Source organism: Homo sapiens, chromosome 4 (assembly GCF_000001405.40).
Source record: "Homo sapiens chromosome 4, GRCh38.p14 Primary Assembly".
NCBI classification, from domain to species: domain Eukaryota; kingdom Metazoa; phylum Chordata; class Mammalia; order Primates; family Hominidae; genus Homo; species Homo sapiens.
Window position 1 is genome coordinate 48,196,151 of NC_000004.12, and position 26,255 is coordinate 48,222,405.

At 41.8% G+C, this 26,255-nt stretch overlaps 1 protein-coding gene across 6 annotated transcripts in view, besides 9 other annotated features; it reads right to left on the reverse strand.

Moving 5' to 3' along the window:
* TEC (tec protein tyrosine kinase) overlaps window positions 1-26,255 on the reverse strand; it is a 134,056-nt gene that overhangs the window by 60,368 nt on the left and 47,433 nt on the right. Inside the window, exon 2 of one of the 6 annotated variants that reach the window (XM_011513737.3) lies at window positions 1,971-2,108. The exons of the other annotated variants lie outside the window; for them this stretch is intronic. Coding sequence (XP_011512039.1) covers window positions 1,971-2,000 — 30 coding nt within the window. The 5' untranslated portion in view covers window positions 2,001-2,108. The remainder of the gene's footprint in view (window positions 1-1,970; window positions 2,109-26,255) is intronic. 6 annotated transcript variants of the gene reach the window in all.
* Window positions 4-53: an enhancer, noted in NCBI's record as "active region_21539". NCBI's record gives its function as "activates an Ori minimal core promoter by ATAC-STARR-seq in GM12878 lymphoblastoid cells {active_cell/tissue: GM12878}" and the evidence as "EXISTENCE:reporter gene assay evidence [ECO:0000049][PMID:35858748]".
* Window positions 1,613-1,782: an enhancer, noted in NCBI's record as "active region_21540". NCBI's record gives its function as "activates an Ori minimal core promoter by ATAC-STARR-seq in GM12878 lymphoblastoid cells {active_cell/tissue: GM12878}" and the evidence as "EXISTENCE:reporter gene assay evidence [ECO:0000049][PMID:35858748]".
* Window positions 7,021-7,290: an enhancer, noted in NCBI's record as "active region_21541". NCBI's record gives its function as "activates an Ori minimal core promoter by ATAC-STARR-seq in GM12878 lymphoblastoid cells {active_cell/tissue: GM12878}" and the evidence as "EXISTENCE:reporter gene assay evidence [ECO:0000049][PMID:35858748]".
* Window positions 7,501-7,610: an enhancer, noted in NCBI's record as "active region_21542". NCBI's record gives its function as "activates an Ori minimal core promoter by ATAC-STARR-seq in GM12878 lymphoblastoid cells {active_cell/tissue: GM12878}" and the evidence as "EXISTENCE:reporter gene assay evidence [ECO:0000049][PMID:35858748]".
* Window positions 9,200-9,249: an enhancer, noted in NCBI's record as "active region_21543". NCBI's record gives its function as "activates an Ori minimal core promoter by ATAC-STARR-seq in GM12878 lymphoblastoid cells {active_cell/tissue: GM12878}" and the evidence as "EXISTENCE:reporter gene assay evidence [ECO:0000049][PMID:35858748]".
* Window positions 14,471-14,610: an enhancer, noted in NCBI's record as "active region_21544". NCBI's record gives its function as "activates an Ori minimal core promoter by ATAC-STARR-seq in GM12878 lymphoblastoid cells {active_cell/tissue: GM12878}" and the evidence as "EXISTENCE:reporter gene assay evidence [ECO:0000049][PMID:35858748]".
* Window positions 15,680-15,739: an enhancer, noted in NCBI's record as "active region_21545". NCBI's record gives its function as "activates an Ori minimal core promoter by ATAC-STARR-seq in GM12878 lymphoblastoid cells {active_cell/tissue: GM12878}" and the evidence as "EXISTENCE:reporter gene assay evidence [ECO:0000049][PMID:35858748]".
* Window positions 16,270-16,329: an enhancer, noted in NCBI's record as "active region_21546". NCBI's record gives its function as "activates an Ori minimal core promoter by ATAC-STARR-seq in GM12878 lymphoblastoid cells {active_cell/tissue: GM12878}" and the evidence as "EXISTENCE:reporter gene assay evidence [ECO:0000049][PMID:35858748]".
* Window positions 16,350-16,399: an enhancer, noted in NCBI's record as "active region_21547". NCBI's record gives its function as "activates an Ori minimal core promoter by ATAC-STARR-seq in GM12878 lymphoblastoid cells {active_cell/tissue: GM12878}" and the evidence as "EXISTENCE:reporter gene assay evidence [ECO:0000049][PMID:35858748]".

A 26,255-nucleotide genomic window follows, 5' to 3' on the forward strand; every position in this document is an offset into this window, starting at 1 on the left:
GGTGTTTCCAGAGGAGACTGGCATGCAAGTTAGTAGACTGAGTGGGGAAGATCCCTACTCAGTGTGGGCAGGCATTCTGGTTTACACGTCTTAGATCTCCCTGGGCTAAGAACCAGCAGGCCTCTATAATAGAGCTTACTGCTTAAAAGCAAAAAGTCTGAAGCCCAACTGTCTGAGTTTGAATCTCAGCTCTGCTACTTACTCACTGTATCTCCTTGAACAAGTTACTTAACCTCTCTGTGCCTACACTTCATTAGCTATTAAATGGGATGAATAATAGCACCAGAACTTCATATGATTGCAGTAAGAATTCGAAGAGTCAATTCATGTAAAGCTTTTGGAAGAACGCTGACAAACAGTTTAAGTGCTTGATCAATTTAGCTACTAATATTATTTTTGAAAAGCATACTAGCCCTTAGGAAACCTAAAAGCGAGAGCCACTAGTTTTGATTAAGAAACGATCCTCACACCTACCTTCTAGACTCCAAGAAAGATCTTCTGAGAGTTGATGCTGAATTTGACTATGTCTTATAAAAGCCATGAATGAGATGTTTCCTCAGGTCATGACAAATATCGGTTTTCTAAAATTACAGGAGGCCGTAATAGAAACGACCAGTGTCTACCAACATCCACTCTTTTCAAACAGAAAAAGAAATTAACCTTTCCTCATGGGTCTTACAATTCTGTTTTTAAAATGACGGTTGATGCTTCATGTGACTCCACTATTTTTACCCTTCGAGGCTGTTATTTTAGTTCTATCTTACAGTATGAAACCAATACTGAGCCAGCCAGTGACTAGATTAGCACTTCCTTTTTACGTTAGGAACAATTGATCTCTGGTAACTCACAGCATTTAACACACGATAGCAGGGAGCATCTTTGGTCAAAAATTCCTCTTCAAAGCACAAGAGTAATGTTACAAAGACATATTTTGCCGGTTTGTCAGGCTGTCTTGACGGCTAAGTCATATTCCGGTGAATATAAAGATTAATATATGTTTGATCCTTCTATAAACACACAATTTGGTAGCCCAAAAAATATCACAAAGCTATCCAGAGGCAGTGCAGTACAATGGTTCAGAGCTCTGGGAATCAGGCTGCATGGGCTGGGGTCCCAGCTCTGCCACATGCTCACTCTGCAACCTTGGGCAAAGTACTCAACCTCTCTGTTCTTTAGTTTCATCATCTGTAAAATGGGAATAGTAACTGTATCTGCCTCAAACAGTTCACAGGATTAAAGTTAATACTTAAAAAGCATATAAGACCATGTTTGGCACATGGTAAGCACCCAAAAATATGCTACTTCGGCATATGGATTGAGTTAAAGGCACTTAAAAAAAACAGCACATGCAAGAAGGGCACTGTGACCTTCCTTGTTCTTCTTGAAAGCATGAGATTAACTCCCATGAAAAAGGTGCCCTCCTTATACCAGGAGGACGAAAGACATTCATTCTTATCACCAGAGATGGGGAGCTGAGGCTGAGGGAAAGCTGTACAAACCTTGTTATACTAGTCCTTATCTTGCTACTTTTCCACAATTAACTGTCCTAGTCCTGAAGTGAATTCTTATACTTTCATGTTGCCTCAGCATCCATTTTGAATAGATTCAACTTTTTCATACCCAAAGCAGGGCTCAGTCACCCTTGATAGTTCTAGTTCCACACCACACCCAAATGGCTCAGGCCAGCAGCCAGAGATAAGAATTTAAAGGCATCTCTCCTATCTAGCAGACAGGGTTCCCCACTTTATCGAAGCTTCCCTTAAAAGCACCATTTAGGCCTTTGCCCAGGAACTCAAAGTGACCCCACACCCTACCCCTTATATATACTGCCAATTCCCACATGCATTTTCTCTCTCTGCCTGACTCCATTCCTGCCTCATGCAACCCGGAGATGGAGGACTGCCCTCCCAGCCCATTCCGCCCTTCCTGTCCAAGATCTGTAAGTAAAAATCTCTGAACTCATTTCCTACCTGGTGATGTATTGAGTTTCCACTTTTCATCTGAAGAACCAGTGGCTGCAGCTGCCTCAGGCCATGCTTTCCCAGGGATCCTGGGGGGAATATCAAGTCAGGCTCCCGGCGCCAGGGCGATGGTCAGGCAGGTGTAAGCTGGACATGGGTCAGACAAGAGCCACAACAGTGGCTGCCAGATAAATAAGATAAACAAGTTCCCCATGTGAGGGAGTCCCCAGGTTCCAGGTGGGCTAACTAGGCATAAAACCATCCTCCAGGCTAAAGAAGTACCCCAGGAAAGGGACACTGTAGACATTCATGTCCAGCTACCCTGCATTTCCCATCAGGACAGGGTTGCTAGCCAACCTGGTACTGGAATCCCATTAGCTAGAAGCTCTCAAAATAGCCCCAACTCCTTTTCCCTGTCATATCTTTACAATTTACCAATTTACTACTCTTTGTCCAACATAATATATAAGCTTTCAACCCTTACAACTTCCCTGGGTCTTTATTTTCCTGGTGAAGGCTCCCACGTACATGTAAAAATTACTAAATAAAAATTCTATGCTTTTCTCCTGTTAATCTCTCTTTTGGTGGTCTAATTTAAAAGGCCCCAGCTGGAAAAACTAAGATAGGCAAGGGGAAAAAATATATTTTTTTCTCTCCTTCACACAATAGAAGTATATTTAAATTTAAGAAAAAAGAAAAAACTAAACTAAAAAAGGCCACAGAGCCCTTCTGTTTCTAATCCCAGAAGCCAGTCTTGATTTTCACTGTGCAAAATGTATATTCAAAGGTACCAAGGAGATGATAAAGAAAGTAATGTTTTCCATTGTCTCTGTTTTTAAGGTAGAAATGTTTTCATTCTTAAAGCATCTTTGAAGCCAATGGACAGAAAGGTTTCTAATATTCTATCGGCCAGAGGCTTAAATACAAATGGCCTGGCAGGGCAGGTATTTTCTCCTTTTACAGGTGAAGAAACTGAGACTTAGAAAGTTTCATCAACTGCCCAATTTCATAGCTGGTAATGACAGATCCAGATTCAGAGCAGATCTGCCTGGCTTCAAAGCCCACAGCATGTCCTCTCAGGAAGCCACCTCCTTTTAGGATAAACAGCATTAAATGAACCAGATCCAATGATTCCAAATTTACTTCTCTAACCCCAACTTCTCACTTGCGTCTTAAATCTGTATCTCTAAACTACCCAGGCAAACATCTCTCCTTATCTCTTTCATTTACATCTCTTTCACATGACACAAAACAAATCTATCATATTTTCCTTGAACCTGGATTCCATTCAATCACTCAACAACCACTGCACTCCAGTCTGGGCTACAGAAAGGATTTTCTTTCTTTTTTTTTTTTTTTTTTTTTTTTTTTTTGAGACAAAGTCTCACTCTGTTACCCAGGCTGGAGTGCAGAGGCACGATCTCAGCTCACTACAACCTCCGCCTCCCAGATTCAAGCAATTCTCCTGCCTCAGCGTCCCGAGTAGCTGGGACTACAGGCACGCACCACCACACCTGTCTAATTTTTGTATTTTATTAGTAGAAATGAGGTTTCACCACACTGGCCAGGGTGGTCTCGAACTCCTGACCTCGTGATCCACCCGCCTCGGCCTCCCAAAGTGCTGGGATTACAGGCATGAGCCACCATGCCTGGCCAAAAAGAATGGATTTTTATATTTTGAAACTTAACAACCATGGCAATATTACTAACTTTTCTTCAAGGTTTACCATATGCCAGTTTTGCTTTAAATTTATTTAGTGCATGTTGTAGATGTATCATTTCAACTGATCCCCATAACAACCCTCTGAAGGAGGATGAGTACTGGGTTAAGTGATGCCTTCACCTGCTTTGTGAAGCTTATAAATGAGAATGAGAGAAAGAGACTGAAAAACTAATTGTATTAATAATGTATTAAAATAAAATAGAGATAGGTGGTACAAAGTAAAAGTGCAGAATGACATTATACAGGGAAATCTAATCTAATCTGGAAGATCACAGCAAATATACCAAGGAAGTAATAGTTAAGCTGAAACCTGAAAGAGGGGGAGAAGTTAGCCATTCAAGGGAGGGGATACACGGGTTCTAGAGAAAGGACATAGGTAATGTACATGCTTCAACATGGGAAGGAGGTGGTACCTTCGAGGAACTGAAAAACAGGTGGGCTGGGGGGTGGGGAGTGAGGAGAAAGAATTGCAGATCAATGTGGACAGGCTGGCAGGCTGCTGGACCACACAGTGTCCCATAGGCCATGTTGAGGACTTTTGAGATTAAAATTGGGATAATAATTTCTTGTAGGGTTTTAGGCAGGAGAGATACATGATCGTATTTGTGTTTTTAAAAGATCACTCAGCCATTGGGTACAACAGACTGGAGAGGAGCAAGAGTGGAAAGAGGAGCCCATTAGGATGCGGCAGAAATTGCTAGCTGTCTGCTTATGACATCCATTTCCCACTAATAATGGAACCCTGATTTTTAGGTGGTACCTTGGTACTCAGAATAAAAGACTGCACTTCTCAGCCTCCCTTTGCTACTAGGTATAGCCATGTGGCTAAGTTCTGGTCAATGAGATATTGGCAGAAGTCTTGTATGGAACATAAGGCAAAGCTGCTAAAGGGATCTGACTCTGGTGGGAGATGTCCCTTCTTGCTTTTCTGTCTTTCTTCCTTCCTCCAGCTTGCAATTCAGACAAGATGGCTGGAGCCATCTTTGGCAAAAACAAAAGATAAGCTAGGACTATGGAGAGGAAAGACAGGATCCAGGATCCCTGGATTGTATCCACCATAGCAGTTCTAGACAGCCCACTTCCAGTTTTTGGTTTGGTTTTTCCACACTGAGAAAAAGAAGAAACTTTATCTTGTTTAAACTATTACTTAGGGATTGTGTGTGGTACATAGCATAACCCAATCCTAACTGATACAGAGGCTGCTGTATTCACCCAAGAAGAGGTAATGGTGGTTTGGATCATGGTGGTGGCACAGATGGGAGGAGAAAGAGCAGGACTGAGATATATTTAGAAGGTGGAACCAATAGAACCTGTTGAGAGTCCAGACAAGAGAGGGTGAAGAGAGGGATAAGTTGAGACAGACTCTCAGGTTCCTGGCACAAGCAACTGGGTAGACCATGGTACCAATTACTGAACTAGAGATTACAGGGGTGGGGGACATCTTGAGATTCTTTTCAGACATTTGAATTTGAGATACCTGTGAGAACTCAGACCTCAGAATAGATATCAGGCTGGGAAACAAAGACTGGGAAAGTCATCTGCACACAGAAGTTAACTGAAGCCACTGGAACGGATGATGTCTTCTAAGGCAAGCACAGAGTGAGAAAAGAGACCCCACGAAAGAACCCTGAGGAACACGCACATGTGAGAGGCGGGCAGAGAAAGGGCAGCCCTGGAAGGAGACAAGCAGTGGCCAGAAAGGATACAGGAAAACCATGGATTTCACAAGAAGAGATACACACTAATTATTTATTGCACAAGCAAGAAGGGCCGTGGGCTACCGAAGCAGTAGGGAGAGAGAGCTGCTCACTGGAGTTCTAAGAGCAAGGACACGGGCTCTCAGAGGAGCATGACAGACAGCCAGAAGGAGGCTAAGGAAGGGGACGGGAAGCAGAATGTTATGAGTCTGGTGAGGTAGGAGGCATGTTCCAGCCTCCACCTGGAGAGACAAGCTGGGGAAAGACTGTGGAGGGATCTCCATGCCAGAGGAGGGGAGGAGAAATCATTCCCTTTCTCCCCAGAGAACCAACAGCCCAGTCAGTGGTTCCTCAGCTCACAAAGGCAGGGAGAGTCACAGGGGAAGCCCCAGGCTGCCAGATTCCAAAGTACTGTGGCTTATTTTTTTTTTTTTTTTTTTTTTGAGACAGAGTCTCGCTCTGTCGCCCAGGCTGGAGTGCAGTGGCGGGATCTCGGCTCACTGCAAGCTCTGCCTCCCGGGTTCACGCCATTCTCCTGCCTCAGCCTCCCGAGTAGCTGGGACTACAGGCGCCCGTACTGTGGCTTATTTTAAGGTGGACAGGTTTCCACCTACCACACTGGAACTTCTTTCAAACAATTATCTTCAGTTTTTCATTTTTAAATAAATAAACGTGTAAAGGCATATGGGGTAGAGAGTAAGAAATTTTATTTACTCAAATCAGTGTGAACCACCAAAAAGAATAGATTTTTAGGCCCAGTGCAGTGGCCCATGCCTGTAATCCCAGCACTTTGGGAGGCTGAGGTGAGCAGATCACTTGAGGTCAGGAGTTTGAGACCAGCCTAGCCAACAAGCCAAAACCCTGTCTCTACTAAAAATACAAAAATTAGCTGGGCGTGGTGATGCATGCCTGTAATCCTAGCTACTTGGGAGTCTGAGGCAGGAGAATTGCTTGAATCCAGGAGGCAGAGGTTGTAGTGAGCCAAAATCGCCCCACTGCACTCCAGCCTGGGTGGCAGAAGGAAAAAAAAAATGGATTTTTATATCCTGAAACTTAACAACAATGGCAATATTACTAACTTTTCTTCAAGGCTTACCATATGCCAGTTTTGCTTTAAATTTATTTAGTGCATGTTGTAGTTGTATCATTTCAATTGATCCCCATAACAACCCTTTGAGGTAGTAACTATTTATTGTCTCTGTTTTACAGATGAGGAAACTGAGGAAGAAAGTGGCTATGCTCACTTGCCCAGCATCATATAAGCTAGGGAGTGACAGAACCCAGGATTTGAACACTGACTGTCTGACATCAGAACTAGTGCTTCTGGTTTCAGAAAATCTGCTTTTCCTAACTATAGAAAAGAACATTGCTGGCCATTACATTAAAGTAAGCAATGGGAAAATAACTATGCAAAGCTGCAGGCAGGAAAATAATTTTCACTTCACTTGAGAACTGAGGGAACCAGCCAGACAAAGGCGAGGTGAGTTCCTTTTGTTTTCTTTAACTCGGTCTGTCACAGTAACTAAGAATAAAAAGAACTTGGATTTTATGGCCAGGCACAGTGGCTCACACCTGTAATCTCAACACTTTGGGAGGCTGAGGCAGGGGGATCACTTGAGGCCAGGAGTTTGAGACCAGCCTGGCCAACACAGTGAAACCCTGTCTTTACTAAAAATAGAAAAAATTAGCTGGGTACAGTGGTGTGCACCTGTAATCCCAGCTACTGGGGAGGCTGAGGCATGAGAATCGCTTTAGCCTGGGAGGTGGAGGTTGCAGTGAGCCGAGATTGCACCACTGCACTCCAGCCTGGGTGACAGAGCAAGACTCTGTCTCAAAAAAACAAAAACAAAAACTTGGGGTTTAGACAGCTCATGGTAGCACCAGTTTGCTCATTCTCAGAACTGTTCCTCTACACAGAGCCCCCTGCAATGTGCTTCTCACAAATGCATACTGCGCAGACCATTCAGTCAGCCCTGCCCATGAGAGCAAAGGAAGGTGTAACCCCAACATGATGGTCCCCATGTGACCCAGACACTGGGGTCAGGTGCAGGAAACTGTTCCACTTTTAGTCAAAGCTCACTGATGTATAAGTGAGTCTGAGACAGGGTGTCTGGGGCTCTGGAAATAAAGAACCAATATTTCCACCGGAGACACAAAGAGCAGGCCTCAGCATTTCAAATGAAGGCTTTTTAGCAGAGAAAAGTTACTGAGAATTCATAGTAGGGGTTCATGAAGCTACACTGAGATGTCTAAAATAAGCAGTCATAATTCATCAGAATTTGAAAGAACAGCCACTTTGGGCTAACTCAGAGAAACTTGCAAGCACAGAGGCACTCGCTTTACAGGCAGCACAGACACAGGGAGGAGCTGAGTATCCATGGGAATCTGTACAACGCAAGGAGCCATTATTAGAAACCACCACATATCAAGTCCTGTGCAGGCACTGGGGGAAGGAGGATACAATGATAAGCAGACAGGATCTCCTTCTCAATTTGCTTTCCTATATTTGCATTTGGTCAATGTGCAGAAAACAGTTAACATAGCAGGCCTGACACTGCTATTCTTAGCCAGGCTTACTTGCCTTTCTAGATTGGCCCTTGACTGGCATCTGGAAACTTGAATCTGGGGAGGGTCCCATGATTTCTAGCAGTGATGAGTGCCACAAGGGGTCTTAACGGTTTATACAAACAAAATGGTTCATGCTGAACACCTGCTTGCCTTCTGGGAGTCTGGAATTTGGGCACATGCTAGGCAGAGGGGCCTAAGTGACCAGCTCCCAGTTAAAAACCGTGGACACTGAGTGATGAGTTTTCTGGTAGGCAACATCCCACCTGTTGTCACAGCTCACTGATGGAGGTTTTAAGCCCACCCTATGTGACTCCACTGGGAGAGGACTCCTGTAAGCTCTGGAAGCTTGCACCTGGTTTCCTCCAGACTTCACGTGCCTTTTCCTTTCGCTGATTTTGCTTTGCATCTATCTCTTCACTGTAATAAATGACAGTCATGAGTACAGCTATTATCTAAGTCCCATAAGTCAGCAATCTGCAACGCTTTTTGGCACCAGGGAATGGTTTTGTGGAAGACAATTTTTCCATGGACCTGGGGTGAGCGGGATCATTTCAGGATGAAACTATTCCACTTCACATCATCAAGCATTAGGTTTTCATAAGGAGCACAAAACCCAGATCCCTCACATGTGCAGTTCACAAGAGGGTTCGTGCTCCTATCAGGATCTAATGCCAACACTGATCTGAAAGGAGGCAGAGCTCAGTGGGTAATGCTTGCTTGCTCACTGGCTGCTCACCTTCTCCTGTGCAGCCCAGTTCCTAACAGGCCACGCACCGAAACCGGTACCAGTCCGTGGTGCAGGGGCTGGGGACCCCTGCTGTAAGTCCTGCTAGCAAATCATCAAACCTGGCGGTGGTCTTGGAGATCCCCACCCCTGACACAGTTGGTGAACTAGAATGAGCTTCACTGTAAGAAAGACCTGGTTTAAATGCCAACTTTGACACTTATTAGTTGCAAATCATTGACTTAGTTAATTAAGCTCCCTAACCCTTGGATTTCTCTGAAAACTAAGATAATACAACTTGCCTCAGAAGACTGTGGTCAAGATTAAATAAGTTGTAGACACTCAATAAATGTTATATCCCTTTCTCTTTAGACTAACATGTGAATGGCACCCTCTAGGGTTATGCAGTGCCTGGCCTGCATAATAGCAGGCAGCCTCAGTGAGGCTCACTTCACCTGATTCTCCCTTCCACTCACTGGTGTGCTGGAGTCAGCTCATGACAGCTCATGAGAGCCCACTGTGCATGCCGTTCCCAGCTCTGTGCTCCATGACATCATGCAGGGGCCGGAGATCTGCCATAGTGGGAGTACTTAACACCATGAAAATTGGCAAATGCTGAAAATCAGGGCTTCTTCCTCTACTCCCAGTTGCTAAATATATACTATTATTAGCACATCACTGTCCCCTGCATTTTAAAAATCAAATAAAGAGGAGGTTCCCACCAGACAGGAGGTTTTCCAGCCTATATGCATTTTTTAAAATAAGCTACATATAAAGTTGCTCAATGGTATTAGCCATAGGGAAAGGCAAAACCACAATGAGATACCACTTCACACTCACTAGGACAGCTACAATCAACAAAAGAGAAAATAACAAGTGTAAAGAAGGATTTGGAGAAATTGGAACGCTTGCACACTGCTAATGGGAATGTAAGAAGTCACAGCTGCTTTGGGAAACAGTCTAACAGTTCCTCAAAAGGTTAAACATACTCAAAGCCAAAGCAATTCAGCTCCTATATCCCAGAGAAATGAAAACATATGTCTACACAAAAACTTGTACATGAATATTCATATCGGTTCTATTTCCAGTAGCCAAAAGGTGGAAACAACCCAAATATCCACCAACAGATGAATGAATAAACAAAATGTGGTCTACCCATGCAATGGAGCCATGAAAAGGAACAAAGTACTAATATATGCTACAACTTGAATGAACCTTGAAAACGTTATGCTTAGTGGAAAAAACCAGACACAAAAGTAACATATTGTATGATTCTACTTATACAAAGTATCCAGAATAGTCAAATCCATATAGACAAGAAGTAGATTAGGGTTGCCAGGGGCTGGGAGGAAAAGGAAATGGGGACTGACTTCTTAAGGGGGACAGTTTCTGTTTGGGTTGATGAAAAAGTTATGGAACTAGATAGTGGTGATTTTTAAACGACATTATAAATGTACTTAATGTTACTGAATTGTACACTCTAAAATGGTTACAAGAGTAAATTTTATGTTATGTGTATTTTTCCACAATAAGAAAAAAGAGATATTAAGAGAGTTAGACAAGCCACAAAGTACAAAGCACACACAGATGAGCTTCATTCAGAATATATATATTTTTTATACCTTTTAAAAACAAATAAGAAAAGAACAGAAAACCTAAGAAACAAAATGTAGAAATAGGTATTTCGATAGAGACTAAATGTCAATGGACAGTGAACACATGTAGACTTGCTCATTTTCATTCGTGATAAGAGAAATGCAAGTTAAAAATATAGTGAAATACCACTACACACACACCAGAGAAAGCAATATTTAAAAGTGTAAAATATGAAAAGTTGGCCAGGCGTGATGGCTCACACTTGTAATCTCAGCACTTTGGAAGGCTTAACAGGTAGATTGCTTGAGCCCAGTAGTTCAAGACCAGCCTGGGCAATATAAGGAGACCTCGTTGCTACAAAAAAAAAAAAAAAAAAAAAAATGAAAACAATTAGTTGGGCACGGTGATATGCACCTGTAGTCCTAGCTACCAGAGAGGGTGAGGCAGAAGGATTGGTTGAACCCGGGAGGTCAAGGCTGAAATGAGCCATAATCACACCACTGCTCTCCAACCTGGGTAACAGAGTGGAACTAAGTCTCAAAAACAAAAACAAACAAACAAAAAAACCCCACAAATAAAGAACGAGGGGCAAGGGTTCAAAGGAAGGAGACAGAGATCTTCTGCACCGTTGACAGGAATCCAAGAAAGGTAGAATTTGAACTATGCCTTAAAGAATGTGTAGGGTTTAGGTAGGCAAAAAAGGATGGGCATTCCAGGTCAGAAGAATGGACCAGGTGGTAGGAACATGAAAATAGAGTTCAACAGGAATCAGACAGTTTGATTGCAGCAGCAGAGAACCATGAGGAAAAAATATGGAATGAAGCTGAAAAGGTAGACTGAGGCCCCAGAAGACAGCCTGACAGACTAGTGATTCTGGAATTTATCTGGCAGGCATCAGGTGCTTTAACCCTTCAGGTCTTGAGTTGCTGGGATACTGCTTGTAACTACAAACCCTGTGTGTCTCATTCCCAAATGTCCTTTTAGGCTCCTTGTATTCCTCTGAGGAAAGGCATTCTTCAAGACGTCCTCAAGGAAAATATGTTTTCAACATTATAAAATAAACATGTTAAAGAATTTCCAGGCCAGGCATGGTGGCTCATGCCTGTAATTCCAGCACTTTGGGAAGCTGAGGCAGGAGAGTCACTTGAGTCCAGGAGTTCGAGACCAGCCTGGCCAACAAAGCAAGACCATGTCTCTACAAAAAAAAAAAAAAAAAAAATTAGCCGTGCGTGGTGGCACATGCCTGTAGTCCTAGCTACTTAGGAGGCTGAGGTGGGAGGATCACCTGAGCCCGAAAGGTTGAGGCTACAGTAAGCCATGATTGTACCACTGCACTCCAGCCTGGGCGACAGAGTGAGACCTCGTCTCAAAATAAAAAAACAAAAATCCAGAATTTAAGCATAATGGATTGATCACAAGCTCTTAACTCCTTTCCCTTATTGCACTCCACTAAAATGATAGGAAAAGGATTTTTTAAAATGTATAAATCCTAATAGAAGAAAAGAAGAGGAAATTGAATGAAAGAGAACAACACCATTTGGAAGAAAGAAGACCAAGGCAAACAGAGTAAGTCAACATGCCCACACCTACCGATGAGGACCCCAGTGAGAACAGAGTGATACACCCATCTGTGGTCCAGGCAGGCTCAGAACTTGGCTTCCCAGAGGCAGGGGTGAGGCAAAGAGCCAAAGTCTGAGCAGAGGGTGGGAGTGGCAGGTCTCCTCTATCCCACTTAGCCAACAACTGTGGCCAGCACATATGAATGCTTAATAACAATTTCTCCATCTGAGAATCATAATATTTGGCCATGAAAGGGATTCTGGTGATCACAGTCTAATTTCCTCAATTTAGGGTGGAAACTGAGGGACTGACCTCTCCAAGATCACACTGGCTAGCAGAGCCAGAACTAACTCCAAGCTTCTAACTGCCAGTTCATGTTTCACTGTGCCCTGGCGTGGCAACATACATGAATTAGCAACATCTTGTCTCTCCCATCTCAAAACCCTCCAAAATCTGCCTGTTACTTAAAAAACAAAAACAAAACAAACAAAAAAATGAATTTGCCCAGCTCTCTGGCCTCCTCCCCTCCCATGCCCACCCCATTCCACCTCAGTTCCTTTCCCTCTCTGCTGTTCTTTGAGCAATAAAGCATTTCCCACCTCCCTGGGGTCCTTTGTACTCTTGGCTTCTCCGTGGCCTGCCCTGCTCTTCCTAAGTTCTCTATTCCCTACCTACAGAAACAGCAGGCAAGGCCCCATCTCTCTCATGCGGCTTTACTTTTCTCATGGCAGGGGGATATTTACTGGTATCTGTACGTTGTCTGCATCTCCCCTTTAGAAGGTAAATTCCAGGACAGCAGGGCATTTACCTTCTATACTATTGTGTCCACAGAGCCTACAACAGTACTTGGCACAAAGTAGGTGCTTAAAATATTTTTGTCAAATGAACAGATTCAAGTAAAAAAGAATTGGGGGTGGTGGCTAAGAAATTCAAGTAGAGATGTCTGTGGGTGCCTTCCAAGTTAGATAGGCTGGGTTTGAATTCAATTATCCCACCGTGGTAGTCACTATGAATTATAAATCTAGATTTCTCTATTTCTAAATTTGTATTTCGGTCAATTCAGAAAATTTAAGGTTACTGGGTAGATATATTCCTCCACCACTCCCCATCAATGCCTCCCTCCAGAACACACAGCTTATAACTTTCTCAGCACAGAAAGTTTTAATCCCATGCTTTTGAATGTTCTTGTTTAGCACTTAAAATACCTTTTAATTTTTTTTAATTTTTTTCTTCTCGTAATTTGGATTAAATTCAGTAGAAAATAACCCTTCCATAATGAAGTTGATGATAGAAAACTATGTCTCTATGTAACAGTCAGACGTAGCAGAGTATAATGGTTGGTTACAAAATAAATTTGTAGGCAGGCACAGTACCTCACTTTGGGAGGCTGAGGTGGGAGGACTACTTGAGCCCAGGAGTTTGAGACCAGCCTGGCAACATAGAGAGAGCTCATCTCTACAAAAAAAAATTAAAAATAACAAATAATTAGTTGGGCATGGTAGCAAACGCCTGTATCCCAGCTATTCGGGAGGCTGAGGTGGGAGGATGGCCTGAGCCCAGGATTTTGAGGCTGCAGTGAGTTGTGAACACACCAATACACTCCAGCCTGGGTAACAGAGTGAGACTTTGTCTCAAAAAAAATAGATTTATAAAAAATCAAGCTTGATGATATATTAACAATAATTACAACATATCATGGGGAAAAAAACCTATTCACAAGAGTAGCTAAAACTATAAAATAGGAATACATTTAACAAGAAAAGTATAGGACTTCAAAAACAACAACTGTTTAACTCTATTCAGGGAAATAAAATTAACAGATTAAAGTAGAGACACACCACTTTGTTTTTCAAAGGAAGAACTTAGAGAACATAAACCAATTGTAAACATGCTTGTTTATTAGCTGTTTTACAGTGGAAATGTTTGAGAGTATTTCACTGTCAGAGTTTGCAGAAATTGTCAGATATTAGAACAAATGAAATGTTATGTGCTCTACAGAGGCAGATCCAGATTTTGAGGGATCTGAAGCTTAAACACTTTGGAGGAGAAATCTTTGTCAATTAAAAATTAAAAATAAAACTAAAATGCAAAATCATAAATGCAAAAGCTCTGGGGCCCTTCCAGAGGCCTTAGGAAGGGCTATGGAATTGAAAGAGCCTAAAGCTTACTTTTCTTTAACTCCATAGCAGACCCACCTCTGTTGTCATAAAAATGTAAAGTTGGTCAGACTCGGTAGCTTATGCCTGTAATCTTGGCACTTTGGGAGGCTGAGGCAGGAGGATCCCTTGAGGCCAGAAGTTTAAGACCAGCCTAGGCAACATAGCAAGACTCCATCTCTACAAAACTAAAAACAAAAAATTAGCAGGAATAGTGGCACGTGCCTGTCATCCTGGTCCTTAGGAGGCCAAGGTGGGAGGATCCCTTGAGCCCAGGAGTTTGAGGCTGCAGTGAGCTATGACCACACCACTGCACTCCAGTCTGAGTGACAGAATGAGACTGCCTCTTTATAAAAAAAATGGAGGAGGAGGAGGAGGAGGATGATGAGGAGGAGGAGGAGGAAGAGGGAGGAAAGAAAAACTAAAACTGAGAAAGCAACACCACAGTTACCACAACTGGCACCCTATCGATATGTGTACCACTGGCAAACATCCAGAGAAAAACATCCACAGCAGACGACCCCCAACAGAGTTCCATGAACATGGTTCAGAGATGTCAAACACATGAACCTACCCGAGGTATGCATTTCCACCAGTTACCAGAACTCCAAAACATAACCAGACTACCAGCACCACAGATCAATTTAAAGAGTGAATCACCTGTGATTAGTGACCTAATAACACAATGACACAATTACACTCATTGCAAATGCATTGATATCTGGGAAAAAACAGAGGCAAGAGCAAAGACTGAAACATGTAAAGACACAATGGGCAACAATGCAACCTACCTTATGTATATAATAATAACAGCTGCTTACATGCACTTACCTACCAGGACCTATCCTAGCCACTTTATCTATACTGATCCATTTACCCCTCAAAAACTCCTATGAGGGAAGTATTATTATTCTCCCCAGTTTAAAGGTGAGACACAGAGAGATTAAGTAATTTGTCCTAGGTCATGCAATTAATAAGTAACAGATTTAGAATTTGAACCCAGATAATCTGGCACAAGAGTCCATCCTCTTAGTCTCTCACTCCCTAACTTCACAGAAATTCTGTAAACTCAGAGATGGACCTAGACCACAGCTAAAGTTTCCTACAACTAAGAAGGAACAGAATACAGCTGATAAGCTGATTCTAGAACTTCAAGAAATATATTATCTCATCCAGTGAATTTTGGTCTTGTTTCCTGCAGATATTTTCATCAGAACACCTATCATTAGAAAGTGATTGTGAAGTCTGAAAATAAAAAAATCACTCTGAGGTTCAAAAAAAATTTTTTTAATTATATCTGATCATTAGCATCAAGCTGCTCATCATTTTCCAAGAAAATTCAAAGTTTTACTATTTATCCTTATATTGTACTACAATCAGTCCTAGTCAGGATAAGTTAACCCAAAAATGAGCTTACTTTACTATTTTCTAAAGTGTTAAACTAAATTACAAATATATTGCAGTAAATGTCCAGGAGTCTTCAACTGTGACAGTTTCTCTGCTGTTGAGATAGACAATGAACGTGAATAAATTCATCTTTGAGTCACTTGTGAGTTTTCTTTAAGAAGAATCACTTAAAGTATATATGAAATGTACCATTTAACAAAACTCACTTTAAAGTTCTTGAGCCTTACCACCTAAGCATAACCCTTTTCAGCTTCTTTAATATAAGCATTCACAGGCTGGGCACAGTGGCTCATGCCTGTAATCCCAGCACTTTGGGAGGCCGAGGTAGGTGGATTGTCTGAGCTCAGGAGTTTGAGACCAGCCTGGGCAACACGGTAAAACCCCATCTCTACTAAAAATACAAAAACTTAGCCAGGCGTGGTGGCACGCACCTGTAGTCCCATCTACTCAGGAGGTTGAGTCATGAGAATCACTTGAACCCCGGAGGCGGAGGCTACAGCAAGCAGAGATCATGCCACTGCACTCTAGCTTGGGTGACAGAGTGAGACTCTGTCTCAAAAAAAAAAAAATATATATATATATATATATATGTATATAAAAGCATTCACAGAAATATTTTTTTTCTGCTGGTCTCTCTTTTCTGCACAATTCTAATTTACTTAAATGCACAGGGTTCCTAACACCTCACAGGGGTACAGTGCGGAAAAAAACAAACATAAATGAACCACTGGTAAAAGAACACCCGTTGCAAGGTTTGTTATCTATACAGCCAAAGAAGGGAAGGAGGAAGGAAACATATGAATAGAGGTGGTCAGTGAAGTTACTGTTTAAGGAAGTCCCCCTTTGTGGGAAGTAGAACAGTGTGGTTTAACAGTACACTCGCCCGAAAGATAAGACATCTTGGTTCGCCTCCTCAGATGGGATGTCACTTCAGAGAACACTGTCCCCTAGTTTCTTCACTTGTAAAATAGTCCGTGGGCAAATCTGTGGGTTGTTTACAGTTATACTTTATGGGGCACTGAAGACAACAGAACAATGCAAGTATGTATACAAAACACTGATATTTCTGTGGGATCTGTGCTATGTAAAATGTAAGAACAGGAGGAAACCTTGAAATCCTCTAGGCACAACTGCCCCATATTACACTTGGAAACCCAATGTCCAGTGAAGTTGAGAGTCCCGTGGGCAAGTGCAAACAACGGTGGCACACAAGGTAAGAACGCCAGGTCTCAAGAGACCCCCTTCATAGCACAGCAGAGGTAGCATAACAAAGTATGTCATTATGAACCCACAGAGGTAGAACTATAGCTTAATCAGATTGTAAGCTTAATGAGGCCAGAACCATTCATCTTTTAATTACTCCATCCCTAGCACTGGGTACACACTCACTAAATCTTTGTTGTACAAGTGATGAAGAAAGTAAAACAAATGAGCTGAGTCCCATATTACAAATAAAAGATACTTCTACCAGGAAATTATAAACATATTCCTCTCAAAGGCACAAAATTTATATTTTACAATCTTATGAGTAAGGAATTACACCTATCCATGTGACTTTCGTAGTCGCAAATAAAATTAACAGCAATGCCTATGTGATTGCTTGGAATAAAGATAGAATAAGAAACATGTCATCTAACTAGGTAATGGGGAAAAATTCCTTTCCAATAATCTATTAAAAATCATTTTGCAATTTCACCTCAGTCTCTTGCTTACTCGTTTAATTTTATTTAACAAACAATATTGCACATATTTTGTAGTATTTTCTTTTCAGGGGCTTACCAATGTAGAATCATGCGAAACTTTGAGAAAGTTTTCTAATATGAAAAGTAAAAAAGGTAAATGAAGAGCTTTGGTAAGAAGACCAAAATGGTATTTTTATCTGAAGTAGTAATCAGTGAACATTAATATTTATTTATCTCAGAAGTACAGTATATTCACAAAACTAAAAGGTAATAACATCAGAAGTCCTCCTAAAAAAGTAATAATAGAATTAATTGCTGAGTAACACAAGTGTTTCTAAGCTCCTTTCTGCATATAATTTTCTACACGTACCTGACCAGCATCAACCTATGGCTAACAGTTGGTGTGTCTGAAATAGTTTTAGAAACAACTCAAAATGTAGTATCACTTTCTTAAATTGTCATGTGATTTCTTTTGACAGTTGATAACTTTGTTTATAATAATGTCCACATCTAGTTTGGGGGAGAGATTAATACTAATAAATACTGAATTAAAACATACCCTTGTTTTAGATTTTTTTTAAGAGATAGTCTTGCTATGTTGCCCAGGCTAGACGTAAACTCTTGGACAACATAGCAAGACTCTGTCCCTGAAAAAAAATTTCTGGGTGTGATCCTCTGACCTCAGCCTCCTGAGTAACTGGGATTATAAGTGCTAGCCACTATGCCCAGCTGTTTCTAAATTTAAATAATGCACCACTTCAAAAAATAAAATGGAACAAAATTATGTGGGGAGTAACTCTCACAATGTGAGATCTTTATATTAAAGATCTTTTTGCTTACTTTAAATATTTACTGATCATCACCATTGTAATTACTACCAACAAAAACTTTTTTAAAAGGCTAATGGGTGCGAGGTATTGTGTGTGATATGTTTAAATTACAAAACAACTTCTTCCCTCAAGGAAATTATTATGTAGCCGGTGAGAAAAAAAGGCAATAATCATAACACATATACATTTAACAGGAAATTACATTTAAACAGGAATTCAGAAAGGGCAAGGCATGTATAACCAGAGGGGTGTACAAAGCCTCCCACTTAAAAGGATTTGGGATGAGACTTGAGTAAATAGACAGGAGAAGGAGAACTGCTAGGCACAGCAGGACCAAAGCTTCAAAGGTAGGAAAGTGACAAGCACAGACAGTCCCAAGTTATGGTTTGACCTAACGATTTTTCAAATTTATGATGATGCAAAAGCAATACATATTCAGTAGAAACCATACTTCATGTACCCATACTACCATTCTGTTTTTCACTTTTAGTACAGTATTTAATAAATTACATGAGGACTGGGTGTGGTGGCTGACACCTGTAATCCCAGCACTTTGGGAGGCCAAGGCGGGTGGATCACTTGAGCTCAGGATTTTGAGACCAGCCTAGGCAACATGGCAAAACCCCATCTCTACTAAAAATACAAAAAAAATAGCCAGGCGTGGTGGTATGTGCCTGTGGTCTCAGCTTCTAGGAAAGCTGACATGGGAGGATTGCTTGAGCCCAGGAGGTGGAGGTTGCAGTGAGCTGAGATCACACCACTGCACTCCAACCCGGATGACAGAGCAAGACCCTGTCTCAAAAATAAAAATAATTAGGCCGGGCACAGTGGCTCACTCCTGTAATCCCAGCACCTTGGGAGTCTGAGGTGGGCAGGTGACAAGAAGTGAGGAATTCAAGACCAGCCTGACTAACATGGCAAAACCCTGTCTCTACTAAAAATACAAAAATTAGCCAGGCGAGGTGGATCATACCTGTAATCTCAGCTACGTGGGAGGCTGAGGCAGGAGAATCGCTTGAACCCGGGAGGCGGAGGTTGCAGTAAGCCAAGATCATGCCATTGCACTCCAGCCTGGGCTACGAAGCAAGACTCCATCTCAAAAAATAAAACTAATTAAAATAATTTTTTAAATTACATGAGATACTCAACACTTTTTTATAAAAAGGCCTGTGCCGGGCGCAGTGGCTCACGCCTGTAATCTCAGCCCTTTGGGAGGCTGAGGTGGGTGGATCATTTGATGTCAGGAGTTCAAGACCAGCCTGGCCAACATGGCGAAACCCCATCTCTACTAAAAATATAAAAATTAGCCAGGCGTGGTGGCACGCATCTATAATCCCAGCTACCTGGGAGGCTGAGGCAGGAAAATCACTTGAGCCTGGGAGGTGGAGACTGCAGTGAGCTGGGATTGCGCCACTGTACTCCAGTCTGGGCAATAGAGTGAGACCCTGTCTCAAAAAAATAATTAATTAAATAAATAAAATAGGCTTGTGCTAGATGATTTGGCCTAACTGCAGGCTAATGTAAGTGTTCTGAGCACATTTAAGGTAGGCTAGGCTAACCTACAATGTTCAGTAGGTTAGGTGTCCCAAATACATTTTCAGCTTACAATGGGTTTATCAAGAGGTAACCCTGTCGTAAGACAAAGAGCATCGGTATTTGCAAGCAAAGGAGTCTGAATAGTCACTAGATGGTATCCATTATAACAACCATATTATTGACACTGTATAGAATTAGAGTCCTTATCCACTGGGCAACCCAGACACATCCTTTCCAGAACTAAGGCAGTGCACTCAGAGAGCATGATCCAGAAATATTCGATATGAGCTTGGGTCCAGGCTTAACAACCAGCTCACTAGGTGACCTGGAGCAAACCATCTCCTTATCTTCAGTTTTCACAAGTGAAAAATCTGGAGGTGATTCTTTAAAGTCTCTTTAAGCTCTAAAATTGCATGATTCCTCCTTATTACTAACAAATCAACTATCTCCTTGTATTTATCCTCTTGTAATTATTTGCTTTATAAATCTTTATAGGCCTCAGAACAGAACAGTTCCACAAACACACTAAGTCCCCTTTCACCCCAGGGCCTTTGCACCTGCTGTTCCCTCTGCATTGAATGGACTCTCTCTGCCCATCATTGCTCACATTCTCACCCTTGGCCAAGTGGCCTTCCCCAATCTCTACGCCCCAGGAAAAAAAAAAAAACAAAAAACTGTATACAGGTCTATACTCTTGCCACCAAGGATTCCTCCACTCATAATTTGGTCTCTTTTTAAACTGTCTTCCAGTGTAAATGCTATCATCCCTATCTTCAAAATAAACACTTTCTAGAAACTATTAATTACAAGGAAGTAATTTCAAAGATTTCTAAGAATTCCTCAGCCCAGTAGTTCATAGCATAAAAGGAGAAATACAACTCAAGTTACACAAATTGTGATGTCAAATGTAGTTCTTTTTTAAAAAAAATGCAAGAAGTTACATACATTTCAAATTAAGACAATTTTTTTTCAAGGTAGACAGGTAGGAGAAGAGGGGTGGGTAGAAACACTATGTTTATTTCAACTACAATGCCATTTTCCAAATATTCTAGGAATCATTCTTTTTGTAATTGCCTTCAGTTCCTATGTCACAGTCTTGAATATGTTCAGTGGAAAAATAGCTAAATAAAACTTTGCTTAAAACTCAACTTTCTGATATCACTAAAAATTGCTGACGGACAAGTTTTATGACTAAATTAAATTAAGTAATACCATTTCTGAACAACAATGCTGATTTTTCATATAGCCTTTCTCTCATCATAATACAAATAATCAAATGAATAAAACACAACTATCACAGCCAGATCAAAGAGTGTTTTTCAAGATCTAGAATATGTCTATTGTTTCTACTCTTAAGTTGCAGGAGGACCAAACCTTTGATTAAACTCCTCTCTTCATTTAGTAGTAATTACCCCATAAAAAGCTCTGCATGCCTGACAACTGTTTTAATACAAAATAATAAAAAATTAAGCTAGAAGGGGAGGAAACGAGAGAGATGGTAAACAGTAACAAGTGATTTTTTTTTTTTCTTGAGATGGAGTCTTGCCCTGTCACCCAGGTGGGAGCGGAATGGCGTGATCTCAGCTCTCTGAAACCTCTGCCTCCCAGGTTCAAACGATTCTCTTGACTCAGCCTCCCGAGTAGTTGGGATTACAGGTGCCCGCCACCATGCCCAGCTAATTTTTGTATTTCTAGTAGAGACGGGGTTTCACCATGTTGGCTAGGCTGGTCTCGAACTCCTGACCTCATGATCCGCCCAACTCGGCCTCCCAAAGTGCTGGGATTACAGGCGTGAGATACCGCGCCCAGCCAGTAATAAGTGATTTTTACTCATCCTAGTGAACCATGCTACAATAATTTCTTTGGTGGGGAGGGACACCTTCAGCTCCTAATGATAACCATGACAATGAAAGTAGGAGAATAGACTACACTGATTTTTAAGTTTGTGGACTCTTACGTGAAGTCATTGTATGGACTCTTACATGAAATCATTGAGTAGTCATGAGATAGCTGGCATTTTATAGTATGTAACAAAGGACAGCATTTCTTCCGTATTATCTCTTCCTCTCACCATAGATATTTTAAAACTTTATGTCTTGACCAACTGAATGCAATGTGTGATTATGGATTAGATCCTGGACTTGGGGCTGGAGGGGCAGGGAGGGTGAGGAATAGCTATAAAGGCATCAGTGGAATAATAAATGAAATGTGCTCTGGATCTCCAGATTCAATAATAGTATATCAATGTTAAATGTCTTAATTTTGATCACTGTACTGTAATTATAAAAAAGAATGTCTAGGGGTATGGATGGAGGGAATGTTAGTATCCCCCTATTCTGTCTTAAATAGATTTCAGCTTCCTAGAGAAAAAAAAAAAAAGACAGTGAATATCATTAAAGAAAGGTAAACAATTTGGCAAATTAAAGGAGTAAGTAAGACCCTTGGACTTCGGACCTGGCATCATGGCCTCTTGAAGTGATTAATGACAAGAAAGGTCAGATCTAGGAGAGTAGAATAAAAACACAGATATGAATCAGAAATGGGAGAAGAGATACAAGAAAGGAAATTGAGACACAAAGAAGAAAGTTGATACCACCTAATTTCAGAAACAAAGAAATTCAATTGTCTAAGAATATGAGTTTTCAAGGCATAATATAGTTGAGAATTTCCAGAGCCAGAATAATCCCATCACACACTAATGATTACATGGAGTATTTAGAGTCATGTCACTTTTGTTGTTGTTGTTGTTATACAGAAGATGGCTTGCTATGTTGCCCAGGCTGGTCTCAAACTCTCTACCTCCTTATGTGTCAGGACCACAGGCCTGAGCCACCACACCTGCCAGAGTCATAGCACTTTTTACAAGCTGGTGGACTGCCTGGTAATCTCTAACATTTGATGCAGATACTTCCAATTGCCCGGTAGTACAAGAAATTATTCTTTTCCCATTCCACACCAACTCCCCAGAACCCTAGGAAGTGCTGAAAGATACAAACCTTCAGGTAAAGATTAGAAGGACCCAATAAACCTACAGTTTCCACTTGGGGAACCACCTAATATACGAATATAACTAAGGGAGAAACATCAGATCATCTCAGAACCTCAACAGGCTCTTATCCCTGTATCACTAAGTCTCCAGGTTCCCAGGATTGGTCAAGAAAAAAACCAATATGACCCAGGAGAGCCTATACAAATGAGAGATTTCCCAGGGTGTTTGAGACTCATGTCATCGTACTTGTAACTGATTGCCTGCCCCCACCATCATGTTTGTTAACCTAGGTAAAATATTAAAGTTTCAAGCATCTCGTAACAAGAGAATGCTCAATTTTGGTACAACCAGATTAAATAAGAGAGGCACTGTGGGTGGAGGATTACCTAGGTGCCAAGGCAAGAGACTGAAGGCACAAAGTATTTCAGTATAATAAAGAAAGTAGTTAGAATAAGAATAGTCATAATACAAATTAGATATAGAGAGGACCATGAAGAATTATCAGTCATTATTATAAACATTATTAATCATTAGCTTTTAATATTACTCTTTGTTGCATTACTAATATAACCTAGGAATAACCAGCGGGTATAGGGTCAGGTGCTGAAGGGACATTGTGAGAAGTGACCTAGAAGGCAAGAGGTGAACCTTCTGTCATGCCCGCATAAGGACCGCTTGAGGGCTCCTTGGTCAAGCGGTAACGCCAGTGTCTGGGAAGGCACCCATTACTTAGCAGACTGCAAAAGGGAGTCTCCTTTCCTTGGAGGAGTCAGGGAACATTCTGCTCCACCAGCTTCTTGTGGGAGGCTGGATATTATCCAGGCCTGCCTGCAGTCATCCGGAGGCCTAAACCCCTCCCTGTGGTGCTGTGCTTCAATGGTCACGCTCCTTGTCCACTTTCATGCTCCTCCTGTACTCCTGGTTCCTCTTTGAAGTTCGTAGTAGATAGCAGTAGAAGAAATAGTGAAAGTCTTAAAGTCTTTGATCTTTCTTATAAGTGCAGAGAAGAAAATGCTGACGTGTGCAGAGAAGAAAACGCTGACGTATGCTGCCTTCTCTCTCTCTCTCTGCTTCAGCTACCTAAAAGGGAAGGGCCCCCTATACTGTAATCACGTGATTTGCTTCACCTTGTCAATCACTTAGAAGATTCACCTTCCTTACCCTGCCCCCTTGTCTTATATGCAATAAATATCAGCAAGCCCAGCCATTCGGGGCCACTACTGGTCTCCGTGTCTTGATGGTAGTGGTCCCCCAGGCCCAGCTGCTTTTTCTTTATCTCTTTGTCTTGTGCCTTTATTTATTACAATCTCTTGTCTCCACACACGGGGAGAACACTCGCTAAGCCCCATAGGGCTGGACGCTGCAAGGCATCTGTGGCATTTTGGGAAGAGCACTGAACTTAAGAGTCACAATATCAAGGTTCGAATTCTAATTCTTCTACCTATTAGCAGTGTGACAACCTTTCTGATTGTCTTGGTTCACAACATACATTTATGTCATGGTTCACAACATACATAAATCCTAAATTTATCCTAGAGATGGGGAGATGGGGAGAACTCAATCTTAAATTCCTAAATACATTTAGGATTGAGTTCTCCCCATCTCCTCATCTCTAGGATATCCAGTGCATCCAGCCATGCAACATGTTCTGAGTACTCCCTCTGCCCTAGGCCCACAGAAATACAAAAATGGATATGAACCCTGCCCTCAAAGAGTTTGATATGGTTTGGATATTTGTCCCCTCCAAATCTAATGCTGAAATATAATCCCCACTGTTGGAAGTGGACCTGGTGGGAGGTGGTTTGGGTCATGGGGGGCAGATCCCTCATGAATGGCCTGGTGCCCTCCTAGATGGTAATGAATGAGTTCTCACTCTGAGTTCATGTGAGATCTGGTTGTTTTAAAAGAGTATGGCATCTCTCTTGCTTGCTCTCATCATGGAATACACCAGGTCCCCTTTGCCTTCCACCATGATTGTAAGTTTCCTAAGGCCCCATCAGAAGCAGATGCTGGCACCATGCTATTTGTACAGGCTGCAGAACAGTGAGCTAAATAAACCTCTTTTATTTATAAATTACCCAGCCTCAAGTATTTCTTTATAGCAATACGAATGGACTAATACACAGCTAAAAAGAAAAGAAAAGAAAAATACCTCTCCTATACTCTCTCAGCACTTCTGACACCAAATATGTGGCAGGGAGTGGGGTTTCCACAACAGCCAGCTCTCCAATTCTTGGCACACACCAATTGAGTGTCCTACAATTTAACTCAATTCTGACACTAACTGCTCAGAATTAAGACAGACCCCACAGACCAAAGGATCACTCCCAGAACACTGCCCTCTGCTTCAGATGTCAATCACAAGTAGTGGATCCCCAGGTTACCACAACTCCTGTCTGACTTGGCTACATATGGAGGTTCCCACAACCCCCTCCTTGGGTTCAAGAATTTGCTGGAACAGCTCACAGAACCCAGGGAAAGTGTACTTACTATTATCAACTTATTACAAGGATATTTTAAAGGATACAAATGAACAACAGGATAAAGAGATACACAGGGTGAGGTCCAGAAGGGTCCCAAGCACAGAAGCTTCTGTCTCCATGGAGTTTGGGTTATACCATTTATATGGTTTGGCTGTGTCTGCACCCAAATATCATCTTGAATTGTAGTTCCCATAATCCCCAACGTGTTGTGGGAGGGACCCAGTGAGACATAATTGAATCCTGGGGGCGGTTACCCCCATGCTGCTGTTCTCCTGATAGTGGGTGAGTTCTCACAAGATCTGATGGTTTTATAAGGGGCTTTTCCCGCTTTGCTCAGCACTTCTCCTTGCTGCCACCATGCGAAGAGGTATGTGTTTGCTTCCCCTTCCGCCAGGATTGTAAGTTTCCTGAGGCCTCCCCAGCTATGCTGAACTGTGAGTCAATTAAACCTCTTTTCTTTGTAAATTACCCAGTCTTGGGTACGTCTTTATTAGCAGTGTGAGAACCAACTAATCCAACCATCCTCTAGCACATGCACACATTCTTGTTCACTAATCTGGAAGCGCTATGAACCCCTTCTGTTAGGGTTTTCATGGAGGCTTCACTACGTAGGCATGATAGATTAAATCTTTGGCTATAAATGATTATTAGCTCAACCTCTGGTGCTTCTGCCCTCCCTAGAGGTTGGAGGGTAGGGCTGAAAGTTCCAACCCTCTAATCACATGGTTGGCTCCCCTGACAACCAGATCCCCCATCCTAAAGTCAACCTATTACTTTCCAAAAGTCACCTCATTAACATAAACATAGCTACGGCTGAAAGGGGCTTGCCAAAATGTATATTTCTTATTATACTACACTATCACAGGAGCTTAAAATCCAGTAGGTAACACAGATATGTAAATAGTCAGGTAGTCAAGATACCATAATAATGTGTACAGAGCACAAAGGGGAGGAGGATCCATTCTACTTTTGCCAGGAGGGAGACAGAAAAGGCTTCTGAGAAGATGGGGATTGAACTATGTCAGAAAAGATGAGTAAGTGTTCCCCAGGCACTCAACAAATTTTTGAAAGATAAAATAGATGGTGGCTGGATAGATGGATCCTGGCAGGCAGGCAGAGGAGTGTGTCACTCCAAATAGATTGAAGAGTATTAGCAAAGGCACGATGTGAAAGGGCAACTGTAAGTAGGAGACACAGCCAGAAGAGGAGGAAGAGGAGAAGAAGAAAAAATTGCATCAAGTACTTCGTATCCCAAACTAAGGAATTTTAACTTGATCCTAGAGAAGCTATGCATTTTGCAGATGAAAGATGAAGATCCAGGAATTGAATCAAGTAGGGCAGTA